This window comes from Homo sapiens, chromosome 10, assembly GCF_000001405.40.
Source record: "Homo sapiens chromosome 10, GRCh38.p14 Primary Assembly".
Lineage (NCBI taxonomy): Eukaryota > Metazoa > Chordata > Mammalia > Primates > Hominidae > Homo > Homo sapiens.
Genome location: NC_000010.11, coordinates 132,676,665 through 132,692,571, shown reverse-complemented (window position 1 = coordinate 132,692,571; position 15,907 = coordinate 132,676,665). Strand labels below are relative to the sequence as shown.

At 53.3% G+C, this 15,907-nt stretch overlaps 1 protein-coding gene across 8 annotated transcripts in view, besides 1 other annotated feature; it reads right to left on the bottom strand.

Moving 5' to 3' along the window:
• INPP5A (inositol polyphosphate-5-phosphatase A) overlaps positions 1-15,907 on the bottom strand; it is a 245,694-nt gene that overhangs the window by 90,909 nt on the left and 138,878 nt on the right. For 7 of the 8 annotated variants that reach the window (XR_001747104.2, XR_945735.2, XR_007061963.1 and 4 more), the window contains one exon: positions 2,117-2,180. Coding sequence is in view for 4 of the 8 variants with exons in the window: in NM_005539.5 (NP_005530.3) it covers positions 2,117-2,180 (64 nt within the window). In the remaining 4 variants the exon portion in view is untranslated. Of the gene's footprint in view, positions 1-2,116; positions 2,181-10,620; positions 11,298-15,907 lie in introns of those variants that run through there. The other variant, NM_001321042.2, reaches the window with a different exon arrangement.
• Positions 4,536-5,280: an enhancer, noted in NCBI's record as "H3K4me1 hESC enhancer chr10:134500796-134501540 (GRCh37/hg19 assembly coordinates)". NCBI's record gives its function as "activates a minimal SCP1, AML or CMV promoter by ChIP-STARR-seq in primed H9 embryonic stem cells {active_cell/tissue: H9 hESC(primed)}" and the evidence as "EXISTENCE:reporter gene assay evidence [ECO:0000049][PMID:30033119]".

The following is a 15,907-nucleotide window of genomic DNA, read 5'->3' as shown; positions in this document are numbered from 1 at the left end:
ATCACCTCGCCTATAAGGAATCTCCTGGATTCTTTCAAGATCTTCTCTTTTTTCTTTGATTTTCTGCAGTTTGAATACAAGGTGGCCTGGGGTTGACTTTCTGGCATTTATCCTGCTTGGTGTTGGCATTCGTTGAGCTTTCTGGATCTGTGGTTTGGTGTCAGTTACAAGTTTGGAAAGTTCTAAACCATTACTACATTAAATCTTCCTTCTGTTCCTTTCCTTCTACTCCTACTGGGGTTCCCTTTACAAGCTGCACCTGTTGTCGCTGTTTCACAGGTCTTGGCCATTTTCTTCTGTTTTCAAATTTATTCTCATTTCTTCTTGCTTTTCAGTTTGTGAAGTTTCTAACACCTTCCAGCTCGCTGATTCTTCCCTCAGCCGCGTGTGCACATGAGCCACTGCTTCATTTCTGGTACTGTTTCTGATTTCTAGGTTTTCTTTTTGAGTCCTTCTCAGAGCCTCGAGCCCCTAGCCTGACCCCCGAGCCTGACCCTCGAGCCCAACCGCCCAGCCCGAGGCCCCCCGACTGCGCTGAGCATCAGCAGCAACACCTGCCGTGTGGGGCACTGAGAATATCGTCAGCATCCGCATGCCTCCCGGGACCGCACGCCTGCCAGGACCGCACGCCTCCCGCGACCGCACACCCCGCGACCACACGTCTCCCGCGACCGCATGTCTCCCGCGACCACACGTCTCCCGCGACCACACGTCTCCCGCGACCGCACGTCTCCCGCGACCACACGTCTCCCGCGACCGCACGTCTCCCATGTCCACACGTCTCCCGCGTCCACACGCCTCCTGTGTCTGCATGCCTTCCTGACGCACCACGTGCTCAGGACATGCTCGCTGCCCACTCCTCATGTTGTTCTTGTTAGTTTGGCCACATGGAGGGCTCTGGGGAAAGTTTTGCTAGAGTGAAGTGTGTATCTCATGTATAGTTTTAAATACACTGTAGGTTCACCAGGCACTTTATGACTGATTTAACTTAGTAGTAAAACAGGTATTCAAATGGCTACTGAAAAACACAAAAGGTCTGCAGATCCGCGGCACGGCGCAGCCTGACGCACCAGCTCCTTGGCTCCAGCTTCCTGCAGCACACGCTGCGTCGGCGCGCTCTCTCCACTCTCGCCGGCCGCTCCGTGCCTGAGCGCACAGCACGCAGACGCCGTGTCTCCAAAACGGAGCGGAGAGCGCCACCGGCCGGCTCCTGCAATTCTGTGCGGCTGATCCTGCCACGGGCCTCATAGAAGGGCTTGGATGCTATAATTTGGAAGGATCTGAAGGTCTTCAGGTAACGGGGCAGTGACAAATCATTTTGCTGGCCAGAATCTTGCTCTCGTCATCAATGAAATCACCACTCAAGCAACTGAGATAAGACTACCGCGCAATTTCACAGGAGCCGCTCCGTCTCCCGAGGGAGCACAAACACGGAATCCGAACGAAACGACATCGTTTGTGGCTCCACAGTTACTACGACGTGCAGGGCACTTCACATGGATGTCATCTGCTCCGGAGGCCGCGTGGGGTTCTGAGAACTCACACACAGCAGGAAACGATAGCGTCAGACGGGAAGTCATCGCACAAACACCCCCAGGCCGTGTGGAGCACGCACGGAAGCCCCACACCCGGCCTAGCTCACGCACCTGCCCCCGACAAAGAAATGAACAGGAGGGGACAGCTTGTGTCAGCGGAGCGTCTCAGGGCAAGTCTTTTCCGTGAAGACACACAGCACATGACCATCAAACGGGGATGCTGTTCACGGCAGGGAGGACCGTCCCTGCCTGTTCTTATTTCTGAAACATGCAACCCTCTCATTCGGCTTTTCATTTTCTCACACTGGATGGGAACACAGATACAAACTATTCCTTCCTCTTAACTCAACTCTAGGAAAGCCAGGTCCCCACCAGAGCCTTGCCAGGGAGCCAGTGTGGGACAGCCAAGGGGCCTCGAGTCCAGGTCCAGGAGGCCCCTGGAGTGACCTCTGGACAGTGGCTCAAGACACCCAGCCCACAGTGGCCACTCACAGAGACAGGGCAGGAGAGGTCTGGGGAAGCCAGACACCAGGAGGGGTGAGTGCCGAGACAAAATCCCGGAAGACGGCACGCAGTCTTACCTTTAAAGTCAAACTGGTAGATGTTTTTTAAGGACTCATGAAGAAAATAAAAGCTTCCTAGTGCCTGTAGAGCAAAAAGAGAAATCAAATGAGAGACTGGTGCTGGGAATATTTCTAAAGATCATTTTTAACAATAAAAGAAGCTCTTTTAAACTAGCTAGAGCAAGAGTTTCACCAGTTATAATTTAATCACAGTTACTGAGGCACAGGATGTCAGGCAGAGGTAACCTGCAAACACCCAAACTCCACCAAGCTCCAGGCATGCGGTGAGCCGTGCAGCCGCTGCTGGCTCCAGCAGGGACGCAAGTCCCACGGGCCAGGCATTGAGTGGACCAGACCCTTCCCAGGTGAGCCGTGCAGCCGGTGCTGGCTCCAGCAGGGGCGCAGGTCCCGCGGGCTGGGCATTGAGTGGACCAGACCCTTCCCAGGTGAGCCGTGCAGCCGGTGCTGGCTCCAGCAGGGGCGCAGGTCCCACCGGCCGGGCATTGAGTGGACCAGACCCTTCCCAGCACTGATGCTCGGCTTCGTCCTGGGGCCTCCAACCATCAGCTCCACTGCGCCTGGCCCCACCCTGCCCCATCGCCCCAGGAGCTGCCAGTGTCTCCCACTTACAAATTAGCCGGATGGTTGCAGAGCACAGGGATCCCTGCTCTTCATACCAGAGAAGGCAAAAGTACGCGGCTGGACGCCACAGGGCTGGGTCGACGGATACCACACAGACAGTTACTTGTTGATCTGAACTGCAAGTTTCACGTGGTATTTTCTACAGATGAACCTGTGTCTACATGCAGCAGTGTGTTCGTACTGACATGTGTATTATTTCTGTGTATTTTTTTCTTTTGCTAAATCTGGCAACCCCAACACGGGGCCTGGTGCAACTCTGGGGTGATCAGAATATTCTACACTGGTTTGCAGTGGTTGCCTTTGTCAAAACTCACTAAATTATACCCCAAAGAGGGCGAATCTCACCATCTATACATTAATCGTTATAAACCTGACTTAACAAACAAACCTATCTCATAGGAGATAGCTGTGTGCCCTGTGGGGGTAGCAGGTCCTGGGATAAAGCAGGGGAGAGTTTGAAGCGGCGGTGCCAGGTGGGCCAGAGAGGAGGGCACACGGGCGCAGCTGCAGACGGAGGGCAGGGGCTGCCTGCAGGGAGCCCAACCGTTACCAGGTCACACAGGGCCTTCCACAGGGAAGAGACTCTGAGCCACTGGGGGCTCTAACCCCAACTCTGCATTCTGAACAGGGCCTGTCCTCAGCTGAAAGCACAGGGCGTGGTGCATCCCTCACTGTGTCTGTGTGAGCCTGTGGGCAACACAAGGGCAACGCCTGAGTATCACCTCATTCCAAGGCTTCACTTGTACACTCTTGCACATTCATGTACACACATGCACACCACACGCTTGCAAACATTAACACATATATGCACTCACGCACAAGCACTCACAGGCACTCACACACACTTGCACACATACACTCATGCACACACAACATGCATTTGCTCACAGGCACTAACATGCACACATGCACTCATGCACACTCACGTGCTTGCTCTCCCACTTGCACTCATACACTCATGCACTAACTCATGCACACACGCACTCACGCACACTTACACTTGCACTCAGTCATGCACTCACACTGGTGCACACACGCACTTGCTCACACACGAACTCATTCGTGCACTCACATGCACTTGCTCACACACTTGCACACATTCATGCACACAATGCACTTGTTCACACTTGCACACACATGCACTCATGCACACGCACACACTTGTTCACACTCACTTGCACACACACTCATGCACACGCACGCACTTGCTCACACTCACACACTTGCACACACGCACTCATGCACTCTTGCTTTGTTTTGGGCAGAACCATGACCCCACAACCCTGCAGTTCTGAGTGCCCCAGTGTGGACCTCCTGCTGAGATGCTGCCCTACGGGGCTGCAGAGCTATTGTCTCTCTAAGAAAGTCAAAGGCAATGCCTGAACATCACCTAATTCCATGGCCCAAGCTAAACGTCCCACACACTTCAGGCTCTGCAGTTCCCAGGGAACTGCTGCTCCCTCCCTGACGACCGGTCACTGGGGTGGCTGTCCTGGGGGCAGGGCTGCAAGAAGGTGCACCACACTGGGGCGTCAGGAGGCTGCTGCTCCCTCAGAGGCGCAGGGCGGCAGGCACAGTGCATGGTGAGGGGACTTATGTTCTGGGCCTGCTGAGGGCCAATCGTGCCAGTAACTCTGGCCTGGTCCCTGTCTGCAGCCCCCTGGGCCCCTGGGTCAGCTCTCTGGGGCCTGTTAGGCCGTCTCTGGTTTGATGCCGACTCCACAACATGGGAAGCTCCCTGGAGGCTGTGCAGCTCCTGCTCCTAGGGCGTGTGCAGTGCATGGTGGGCTGGGGTGATGGTCCTGCTCCCGGGGACGCTGGCCACATGGACACCTCACCAGAAAACAGTGTTTCACCTTGGGGATGACACAGCTGCCCTCTGACAGAACACACTTCAAGGAGTGCATTTAAACTCCTAAAAAGAGAGGCCGGCTGGCAAGCCTGAGTCCTGTGCACCGACGCCATGGTGGCCTCTGCCTCCTGTCTCTGCTGCGTCTGGTGGGGAAGGGAACACACCCACAGGCAGGAGCAGGGACACGTGCCGCCTCCACCCAGCACAGGTGGCAGGTGCGAGTGCTCGCTTGCATGTGCACACACACATGCACACTCATGAGTGCCAGACCTCGGTGGGAGAACCCAAAGCTGCAGGGTAACCATGGGCCTCCCAGCCCTGCATCCTGGCCACCACCCAGATGGGAGCCCCCAGGCTAGATGACAGGGACCTTCTGTCTAGGGGACGGAGATGAAGGATACCCGAGGGGGACGCAGTGCACTTCCTCTTCTCTCGCAGGTGGGTCTAGGGTGCAGCAGGCAGCATCTCTGCCTCCACGGGAAAGCCAGAAGGTGGGAGAACCTGTGTGCCTGACATGGGGCTGTGTCCTCAGGCCCTCTGTGGTCCCTGGCCCCAGGCCACATGCCCTGGTGAGCTGCTGCTGGGTCCAGAAGGCTGCGTGTGGCCATGATGCACTCGGCTGTGACATGGACACTGCTCGACTGACCCGCTATCTCACTAGGCATCTGCTGTGAACCTGCTCAGAACCCGGGGAACTGAGCCACCTTTACAGCAGGTCTTAAAAACACCCAGTGTTGGCCAGGCTTGGTGGCTCACGCCTGTAATACCAGCACTTTGTGGGGGCGAGGCAGCGGATCACTCGAGGTCAGGAGTTCAAGACCGGCCTGGCCAACATGGTGAAACCCCGTCTTTACTAAAAGTACAAAAATCAGCCAGGCGTGGTGGCATGAGCCTGTAATCCCAGCTACTTGGGAGGCTGAGGCAGGAGAATTGCTTGAACCTGGGAGGCAGAGGTTGCAGTGAGCTGAGATCATGCCACTGCACTCCAGCCTAGGTGACAGGGCGAGACTCCGTCTCAAAAAAATAGAAAATTAAAATTAAAAAGCCAGTGTTCATCCTTTTCTTTGGCAAAATAGAGTTTCAGCACAGAGTTAAGAGAGAAAACTGCAGGCCTATGCCCCATGGATGAAACTTAATGTCTCCTCCACCAACATCAGCCCTTCTTTATAGAAGATATCCCTTCATTTGTTTCAGATAAAGAAAGCACTCTGAAAAAACATAATAAATGTCGCTGCAAACATTTAAATCATTACCTCATTGAATGTTAAAGCTAACAGAATATTATAAAGTTTGCAATAAATAAGTGAAAAATAAATTGCCAGTGCAGGGATAGAAACTGCAATTCATAGTCAGAAAATCCATAATTAGCTGTAATGAACATTTAAAGTCAAAGTTCGACCCAACTTTTTCGGTGTTTACCCTGTCCCATCAATACGGTTCAGGGCACCCATTTATCACAGACACCAGGACATTGGGCCAGGAGCGTGTCCGGGGCCTGCCGACAGGAAGTCCCCAGCTCGCCCAGGTCTCTGACCACAGTACTTGTCAAGAGTATGTCTGTCACATCTGAGAATAATGACTCCTCGCCTCTTGCTAAAAACAAAATACTTTTTACGTATTGATAAACAAGACTGTCAAGAGTGCTCATTAATTCTGCATTAGTGAAATGCAGCCATTAGCTGTGATGCTTCTGCGAGGACTGCAGACACGGGCAGGAGTCCTCCAGCCCCCGGAGGCCACGGCACAGCCGGGAAGCGGCCTCCACTGGACAAAGCCAAGCCCCTGGGGCACCGAAAAGTCGATCCGGTGCGGGCCACACAGGAGATCCAGACCCCGGCTAACCTGGGCCCTGGCTGGGGCTGCACTGGTGGGACCCTGGTCTCTGAAGGCAGCCTGGGAGCTAATGGGCAACTGAAGCTCCCAGTCACCACCATCAGGCTTCCACACCAACTGGCGACCAGGGCGCAACGAACCCTGCGTACCATGGGGGCTCAGTGCCTCTCACAGGGGCGGCTAGTGAAGATGGAGTATTTACAAATGCTATTAAAACAACCTCTCAACTTCAATTGGAGTCCGGTAATGTGATAAATGGCCACACCGTGTCACTTAGCTTGATTTCGGGAGCTGAATTCTGATAGCGGGCCCACTTTGCAAACACAGCCAACTCAGGGCGGGAGCAGACCACTTCTCACACATTTGGAAAGAACAACGCGTCCCGGCAGGCACTGTGCAATCACAAAGCCCGTGTTTGTTGAGCAGGGTCCCACCTCCCGGACGGAGCCACCGGCTGGAAGGCTCGGGATGACTCAGGCCGGGGCAGAGGCTGACAAGCCAGGAACACAAAGCTGCCATTGGAAATGCCTCCATCACTTTTTATTTGCAAACAAGTCAGATGGCCGGTAATTTATCATTTCCGCAATCAGGTGAACGACCAAAGCACACATCATTAACCTGGTCTTCTGCACCCAGCTCCCTCGTGCACAAAACAGAACACATTCCTAAAACTTCAGTCACACAGACCCCGCGCTAAGGGACGCACATGAGCACACACTCTGCTCGAGACAGAAAGGGGAAATGCACAAGCAGTGCCCATGTGAGGCCCCAGGTGGCAACAGGGCCCTTCCCCTGTGCTGGTTCCAACCGCGTCGCGGGCGTGACCACAGGTGCCAGCTCCCAGTGCGCCCCAGGGGGATCTCTGTGGAGCCTGCCACTGCATTCTGCCACTGGGAAGGGAAAAAGTGTTGAGGGAGGAGGCCACGGCCCGCGGCCCAGGGGAGCCCTGACTAAGGCCGACCGTGCTTATCAACAGTGACTCAGAAAAAAGAGTGGCAGCATTTGGTGACTCCCATCTCACTCTGAGACAGCATGACATTTTGTTATTTCTACAGATAAAGCGTTTTCACCTCCAGTTTTTTTTTTTAATAAAATAAATCTAGGAGCAGAAAGAAAAACTTCATAAGATATTGTTGGTAACTAATCTTCAAGTCTGCAACAAAATAGAGAACTTCATTTGTTTTAAATGAGAGTCGAGAGATTACTAAACATGACTCCCCTCATACGCAGCCCACTCCTTCCCCAGCTGCATGCTGTGAGGACACAGGACCCCCAAATGAAGGACGCGGCCTCACGCAGGAGCCCAGGGGCACGAAACCATGCTCACCTGGGCTCTGACACACCCTGTGAGGGCCAGTGGCAAACATCTGTGCTCTCTGAGAACAAAGCTAAGGACATCACGGAGAGGCCAAGCCTGACGTTCCGTCCTCATTAGGGTGAAAGCACCTGCCCGAGCTGAGGCAGGCATGTGGTTCTGAGCCTGATCTTTCAGACATTTCCTCTGCCCTTGTAATACAGGAGAAATGAGAAGACAGGCTCACAGTGACTAATGAGTGACTGCTGAAGACATGAGCCACAGGGACACACCACATCCTGTGAACTTACAACCCCACACCCTCACGGCTGCTTTGCACCCAAGAGAAACTCCTGCACACACACACATATGTACACATCCATGCACACACATGTACATAACCCACATCCATATACACTATAGACAAACATACATATGTAATACACACACATACATGCATACACCTGTAGACATACATATGTCTGTATACACACGTGGAATGCACACACAGACCTCTCTCAGAGACGCTGGAGCTCTCAGGAGACAGGCATGAGAATACAATGGCATATGACCTCTGAAAACACCAACTGAAAATGACCCAAATGCTTAACGTGCAAATGGGTAAATCAAATTTGAAATATTCCTATGATAGAACCAGATACAGCAAGGAAAATACACAGATCAGAGTTACATCCAGAAACACAGGTGGATTTCACAAAGGAAGCCAAGAAAGAGGACAGTTTCTCAAATGTCCTATGGCGTGATACCAAGATAAAGACATATTTTAGCTTATTTTGAATGCTACATAATAATTCACCATATAAAAATACTGTAATTTGGCCAGGCACAGTGGCTCACACCTATAATCTTAACACTTTGGGAGGCCAAGGTGGGTCGACCACTTGAGGTCAGGAGTTCGAGACCAGCCTGGCCAACATGGCGAAACCCCATCTCTACTAAAAATACAACAATTAGCCAGGTGTGGTGGCCCATGCTTGTAATCCCAGCTACTTGGGAGGCTGAGGCAGGAGAATCACTTGAACCTGGGAGGCAGAGGTCGCAGTGAGCCAAGATCGCGCCACTGCACTCCAGCCTGGGCGACAGAGCAAGTGAGACTTTGTCTCAAACAAACAAACAAAAAACCCTGTAATTTATCCATTTCTCTGTTGCACATAAAGACTACTTCCAATTATTTGAGTATTGTAATTGATGCTATAATAATCTTCCCTGCATGGTGTTACTGAGCAAGTGTGTCAGAGATAACAAGCATCCAGGTACATGGGTACTGAGTGTTCACACAGACATACTATGCAGGAGGATTTGCTGGGTCACTGCAGACACGCACCCTCCACATAGGGTAATACACACATGTACACGTGAATTAAACATGCGTGCATATATATATAACAGCCTTGCTGTGTCACCGCAGACACGTGCCCTCCACATAGGATAATACACATGTGTACACGCAGATTAAACGTGTGTGCATATGTATATAATACACAGATGGCCTTGCTGGGTCACGGCAGACACGTGCCCTCCACATAGGATAACACACACGTGTGCACGTGGATTAAACGTGTGTGCATATGTATATAATACAACACATGGCCTTGCTGGGTCACGGCAGACACGTGCCCTCCACATAGGATAATACGTGTACACGTGGATTAAACGTGCATACATATGTATATAATACAACACATGGCCTTGCTGGGTCACGGCAGACACGTGCCCTCCACATAGGATAACACACACGTGTGCACGTGGATTAAATGTGCGTACATATGTATATAATACACAGATGGCCTTGCTGGGTCACAGGAGACGTGCCCTCCACATAGGATAACACACACGTGTACACGTGGATTAAATGTGCGTACATATGTATATAATACACAGCATTGCTGGGTCATGGCAGACACGTGCCCGCCACATAGGATCACACACATGTGTACACACAGATTAAACGTGCGTGCATATGTATATAATACACAGATGGCCTTACTGGGTCACGGCAGACATGTGTCCTCCACATAGGATCACACACGTGTACACGTAGATTAAACATGAGTGCATATGTATATAATACACAGCATTGCTGGGTCATGGCAGACACGTGCCTTCCACATAGGATAACACACAGTTTACACGCTGATTAAACATGCGTGCATATGTATATAATACACAGATGGCCTTGCTGGGTCACCACAGACACATGCCCTCCCAGGCACCACCACGTTGCCCCTCCTGTTGCCATGACGATCCCCCAGTGGTCTCATCAGGGCAGTGCCCACGTTCCACATCCTTGCCATGGCCCAGTGCCAGCCTCTAGTTTTTGCCAACTGGATAGGTGTGAAATTAGACCTTATTGTTTTAATTTGCATCTTCATTATACTAGCATAGTTGGGCACCTCTTCATCGAACTGTGTGGCTGTGGTAAAATGCACACAGCATAAACTTGACCATCGTACCCACCTTCAGGTGAGCAGGTCAGTGGCACGCAGTCCGCGCCTAACGAACGTCTGCACCCGTCACACCATCCATCTCCAGGACACTGTCCACCTTCCCAGCTGAGACTGTTCCCGACCAGCAACAGCTCCCATCACAACATCCATCTCCAGGACGCTGTCCACCTTCCCATCTCCAGGACGCTGTCCACCTTCCCATCTCCAGGACGCTGTCCACCTTCCCACCTCCAGGACGCTGTCCACCTTCCCACCTCCAGGACGCTGTCCACCTTCCCAGCTGAAACTGTTCCTGTCCAGCAGCAGCTCCCTTCCCGCTCTCCCCTTCCCGCTCTTCCCTTCCCGCTCTCCCCAGCCCCTGGCAACCAGGCACTGTACTTTCTGTCTCCATGACTTTGACTAATCCGAGTACCTCATGTAAGTGGAATCATACCATGTTCGTGTTTCTGTGACAGGCTTGACTTGGCATAATGTCCTCCAAGTTCCTCCACCATGTTGTAGTGCTTGCCAGAATTTCTTTCCTTTTTACGGTTGGGTCATATTCCATGGTACTGCTTCCGCATTTTGCAGTTGTGAATAATACTGCTTTGATTATAGGTGTGCAAATATCTGCTGGAGACTGCTCTCAATTCTTTGGGGTCTGTACCCAGAAGTGGGACTGCTGAATCAGACGGGAATTCTATTTTTAACTTTTTGAATAATCACCTCAATGTTCACAGTGGCTGCCCCCTGTTATATTTCTACCCACGTGCACAAAGGTTCCAACTCCCTCCCATCGTTATCAGCACCTGCTATTGTGTCCGGAATTGGTGGGTTCTTGGTCTCACTGACTTCAAGAATGAAGCCGCGGACCCTCGCGGTGAGTGTTACAGTTCTTAAAGGCGGCGTGTCCGGGGTTTGTTCCTTCTGATGTTCAGATGTGTTCGGAGTTTCTTCCTTCTGGTGGGTTCGTGGTCTCGCTGGCTCAGGAGTGAAGCTGCAGATCTTCGCGGTGAGTGTTACAGCTCATAAAGGCAGTGTGGATCCAGAGAGTGAGCAGTAGCAAGATTTATTGCAAAGAGCGAAAGAACAAAGCTTCCACAGTGTGGAAGGGGACCCGAGTGGGTTGCCACTGCTGGCTCGGGCAGCTTGCTTTTAGTCTCTTATCTGGCCCCACCCACGTCCTGCTGATTGGTAGAGCCGAGTGGTCTGTTTTGACAGGGCGCTGATTGGTGCGTTTACAATCCCTGAGCTAGATACAAAGGTTCTGCACGTCCCCACCAGACTCAGGAGCCCAGCTGGCTTCACACGGTGGATCCCGCACTGGGGCTGCAGGTGGAGCTGCCTGCCAGTCCCGCGCTGTGCGCCCGCACTCCTCAAGCCCTTGGGTGGTCGATGGGACTGGGCGCCCTGGAGCAGGGGGCGGAGCTCGTCGGGGAGGCTCCGGCCGCACAGGAGCCCACGGAGCGGGTGGGAGGCTCAGGCATGGCGGGCTGCAGGTCCCGAGCCCTGCCCCTCGGGAAGGCAGCTAAGGCCCAGCGAGAAATTGAGTGCAGCGCCGGTGGGTGGGCACTGCTGGGGGACCCAGTACACCCTCCGCAGCTGCTGGCCCGGGTGCTAAGCCCCTCATTGCACAGGGCCGGCCGGCTGCTCGGAGTGCGGGGCCCGCCAAGCCCACGCCCACCCGGAAATCCAGCTGGCCCGCAAGCGCCACGCGCAGCCCCGGTTCCCGCTAGCGCCTCTCCCTCCACACCTCCCTACAAACTGAGGGAGTCGGCTCTGGCCTTGGCCAGCCCAGAAAGGGGCTCCCACAGTGCAGCGGTGGGCTGAAGGGCTCCTCCAGTGCCGCCAAAGTGGGAGCCCAGGCAGAGCAGGCGCCGAGAGCGAGCGAGGGCTGTGAGGACTGCCAGCACGCTGTCACCTCTCACTATCTTCTGCGCTTTTTGACAACAGCCATCCTAATGGGTATAAGGTATTTTGCAAGTCCTTTTAAACTGACAAATGAAAATGGCAGTTTGGATCTGCATCTCCCTAAAGGTTCGTGGAGCTGGGCGCTTTTTCGTGTACTTATCGGCCGTCTCCACGCCGTCCTTGGAGGGAAGACGCCTATTCAAACCCCTTTCTGACTCAGGTTGGTTTTTGTTGTTGCTGTTGTTGAGTTTTCGGAGTTCTCTATATATTCTGGATAGTAATTCCTTATCAGATTTTTGATTTGCAAATATTTTCTCCCATTCCACGGTTGCCTTTTTACTCTGTTGATGTTGTCTTTGGCTGTACAAAGTGGTTGTGTTTTAATGCAGTCCAATTTGTCTCTTTTTTCTTTTGCTGCCTGTGCCTTTGGTGCTGCGTCTGAGAAATCATCGCCAAATCCAATGTTGTGAAGGTTCTGGCCCATGTTTTCTTCTAAAAGTTTTATAGTTTTAGGTCTTTGACTCATTTTGGGTTAACTTTGTACACAATGTAATGTGAGGGGCCAACTTCATTCTTCTGCGTGTGGGTATCAGCGTCCCAGCACCACTGGCTGGAGGCTGTCCTCTCCCATGGAATGCTCTTGCACCCTTGTCAGAGACCACCTGGCTGCCCAGGCAGGGTGCCTCCTGGCTGTCCCCTCTGCTCCATGGTCTGTGTGTCTGGCGCATCTCTTTTTAAGATTATTGGCAATTTAAGTTTCTTCTGTGAACTCTTTGTATCCTTTGCCCATTTTCCTGTCTCATTTTGTAGATTTTTAATTTTTAAATATAATCCAGAATTATTTATTTGTCTCATCACCTTCTCACGCCCTCCACCCTCCTCCAAACTCTGTTACTTCTAGGCTACGGGACTCCACATTCTCCTTCCCTGGATCTCCTCCTCCTACTTGGGAATAACAGCACTCTGGATCTGCTCAGGGTACCCTACGAGCCCTTCTCCTCCACCTCCTCCTCCCGCTGGGGTGGCCCGTCTGTCCCATCTTCCAGCGGGCAGCTCTTGTGTGTACAGCATGGAGCCTCCTAAAGGCCAGCCTCCTGGCCCGGCGGCTGCACAGTCTCCACTTGGGTCTCCCGTGACAAGTCCGACCTTTCAGGACTGGAGACCTACTCCACCCTCACCCTCCTCCAGCTCCCACTGGAAACCACGGATCTCTCCAGATTCCTCCAGCATCTTGTCCATATGCCTCACCCAAACATCCCTTCCTTCCACAGGTTCTACGGATTACAGAACCCTGTCCATCTCTAGCCTTCCACGTCTCTGCACTGCTGCACACCCACCTCCCTCATCTCCCTGTGGGGCCCCCGCCTCCTCCACAGCTGTAGCCCCCTTGGTCTCTTCTCCACCGGGCACCAAGGTGGCCTTTTCCACATGCACCTCTGGGCCTGCCACTGCACTTCCTCCCAGCCACGTCCTGCACAGTGGCCACCCCAGCTGTCCTCTGGCCCTCACACACCCAGCTGACAGAGCTCCAGCCCCATTGGCCATCTGGGCCTGAGGAGGCTGCGCCCTTCTGTCAGGAGGGTACCTCTGCTGCCTCCCCTTTTCCAGCTTCTCACATGGACCCCCTGCTGCTTCAGGTCTCTGTGGAAATGCAGCCTCCTCCAAGCAGCCCTCTTGATTGGCTACTCTGGGCAGAGGCTTGGCAGTCCCAGTCCCCAGCCTTTCCTTCAAGGTGCTGCATATTCCAGCACTCACTGGTTTCCTCATCTAAATTCTTTCAGGGAAGGGAAGCCCCCTGAGGGCAGGCATGTGGCCTGGGCGCCTCTGAGTCCTCCACCACAATGCCCAGGTCACGGCAGGCAGGAATTCCACGGCTCCTGGGCAATGAGAGAGGCACCACACCCTCTGGGCGCCCGGCTGAGCAGCAGCAGCTCAGGACCGCTGGACAGAACCCTCAGCTCAGGTCTCAAAGCACAACCCAAGGCACAGGTTCACGGTGCTCCCGAGAAGCTGAACACACTTGCAAAAGTCACACATTTAACCCTATCACAAAGGCAAGTCCCAAGACACCTTGTTTTGAAACAATTTAACAGATTGAGTAATAAATCAAAGCAAAGTTATAATAACAGTCATTAGATTATAAACAATAATAAATGAAACAAAGCTTTTGTTTAAATCAATGTAGCGCTTCATTGATCTTTTCCTGTATAATGAACTCATGGGCGGCTGACCCAACTGGACAAGGCGGCGTCCTCACTACTGCCCACTTCCCCCAGTGCCACCCCCAGGCAGCATACGGGGGGCTGTGACCGTCCGCTCTCAGAGGAGCTCCGTGACCACCACAAAATGACAGCTGACTTATTTACAAAGCACTGACTTTCCAATTTCAGCTCCTGGGGCCAAACGGGATGACGGCACCAAGGTGTCCCCCTGTCTGGCCTCCTGCCGAGCCCCTCTCCCGGCTGGCTGCTGGCGGGAGAGATGCACACGTAATCTCATTCTGCCTCCTGTTCGACAGCTGACGCTAGAGGTTAATTAAATTGGTTGTCCATTGTATTCATCCACTTTACAAAGCTAATGATATTCTGTTCCTGAATTAAAGAGCATTTTATAAAGCGTGCCCCGTGGAAGCCGGCATTCTGCACGCGGGTTGCTGAACCCTGTCACGGCTCTTGGATGTAGTGTCCCCAATTAGGAGCCCAGGAAGGACCGGGCCTTCATCTGCCAGGGTGGAACACCAGTCATGCTGACACGAGGGTAAACACGCCACATACCAGCCGCTTAATCGCCCTCGCTGGCCACGATAAATTCCACCAGACGAGTGCGCCCGTTAACATTTCCGATTACCACGGTGAGGAGCAACTGAAATGGAACGAGATGGCCTGTAAAACAGCCTGCGGCAGGCTTCTCCAAAGGGGGTACATCTGAGGGCGGCAAGGTGACCAGCAGTCCTGGCTTCTCGCCTGCTACCAGCACTGGGCTCTCTGTCACACTGCGGGGGCAAAGTCATTGGCCGGTCTAAGGACACCCACCCTTGCTGAGAGAATTCAGTCACCACTCACATTCCACAAATATGCACCCGGCACTTTCTCCTTCCTCTGTGCCACATATGTTCTCAGACATGTGAGATACATGAGTGACCAGATGGCCAGAGCCCAAGACGGCAGCGTGGTGAGGGGGGCCATGACAGAGGAGCCCCAGTGGGGAGGTTCAGCTCTGCACCCAGGCAGCATCCACAGGACCTCCAAGACCAATGTGAGCTGGGATGGGCTCTGGAGAGACAGCGTCCAGCCATGGACCTGCAGAGGCTGAAACAGCTTCAGACACCTCAGGGAGGCATCAAAGGTGACTGAACCTAGGTCTACAGTTCAGGACAGGTGCCTGGGTGATGGTGGGGGTCACCATGTGAATACCTGTGGGTCTACAGTTCAGGACAGGTGCCTGGGTGATGGTGGGGGTCACCATGTGAATACCTGTGGGTCTACAGTTCAGGACAGGTGCCTGGGTGACGGTGGGGGTCACCATGTGAATACCTGTGGGTCTGCAGTTGAGGACAGATGCCTGGGTGACGGTGGGGGTCACCATGTGGATGGGCCTCAAAGCTGGGGAAGACTCAGCTTGCCAAGGAGGAGCTGGAGCCAGAGAAAAGGGCAGGGTCAAGCACTGGACTGAGGCTACTACTGTGGAGAGACAGGAGCAGGTGAGAGCCAGCAGTCAGTGGGGCAAGGAGCCACGGGGGAAACAGGAGGGGCCGGTCAGGGACTAGGACGGAACCTTGGGCAGGTGGCACCTTGGAGCAGAGTCAGGAGGAGGGAGCAGCCACAGGTGCC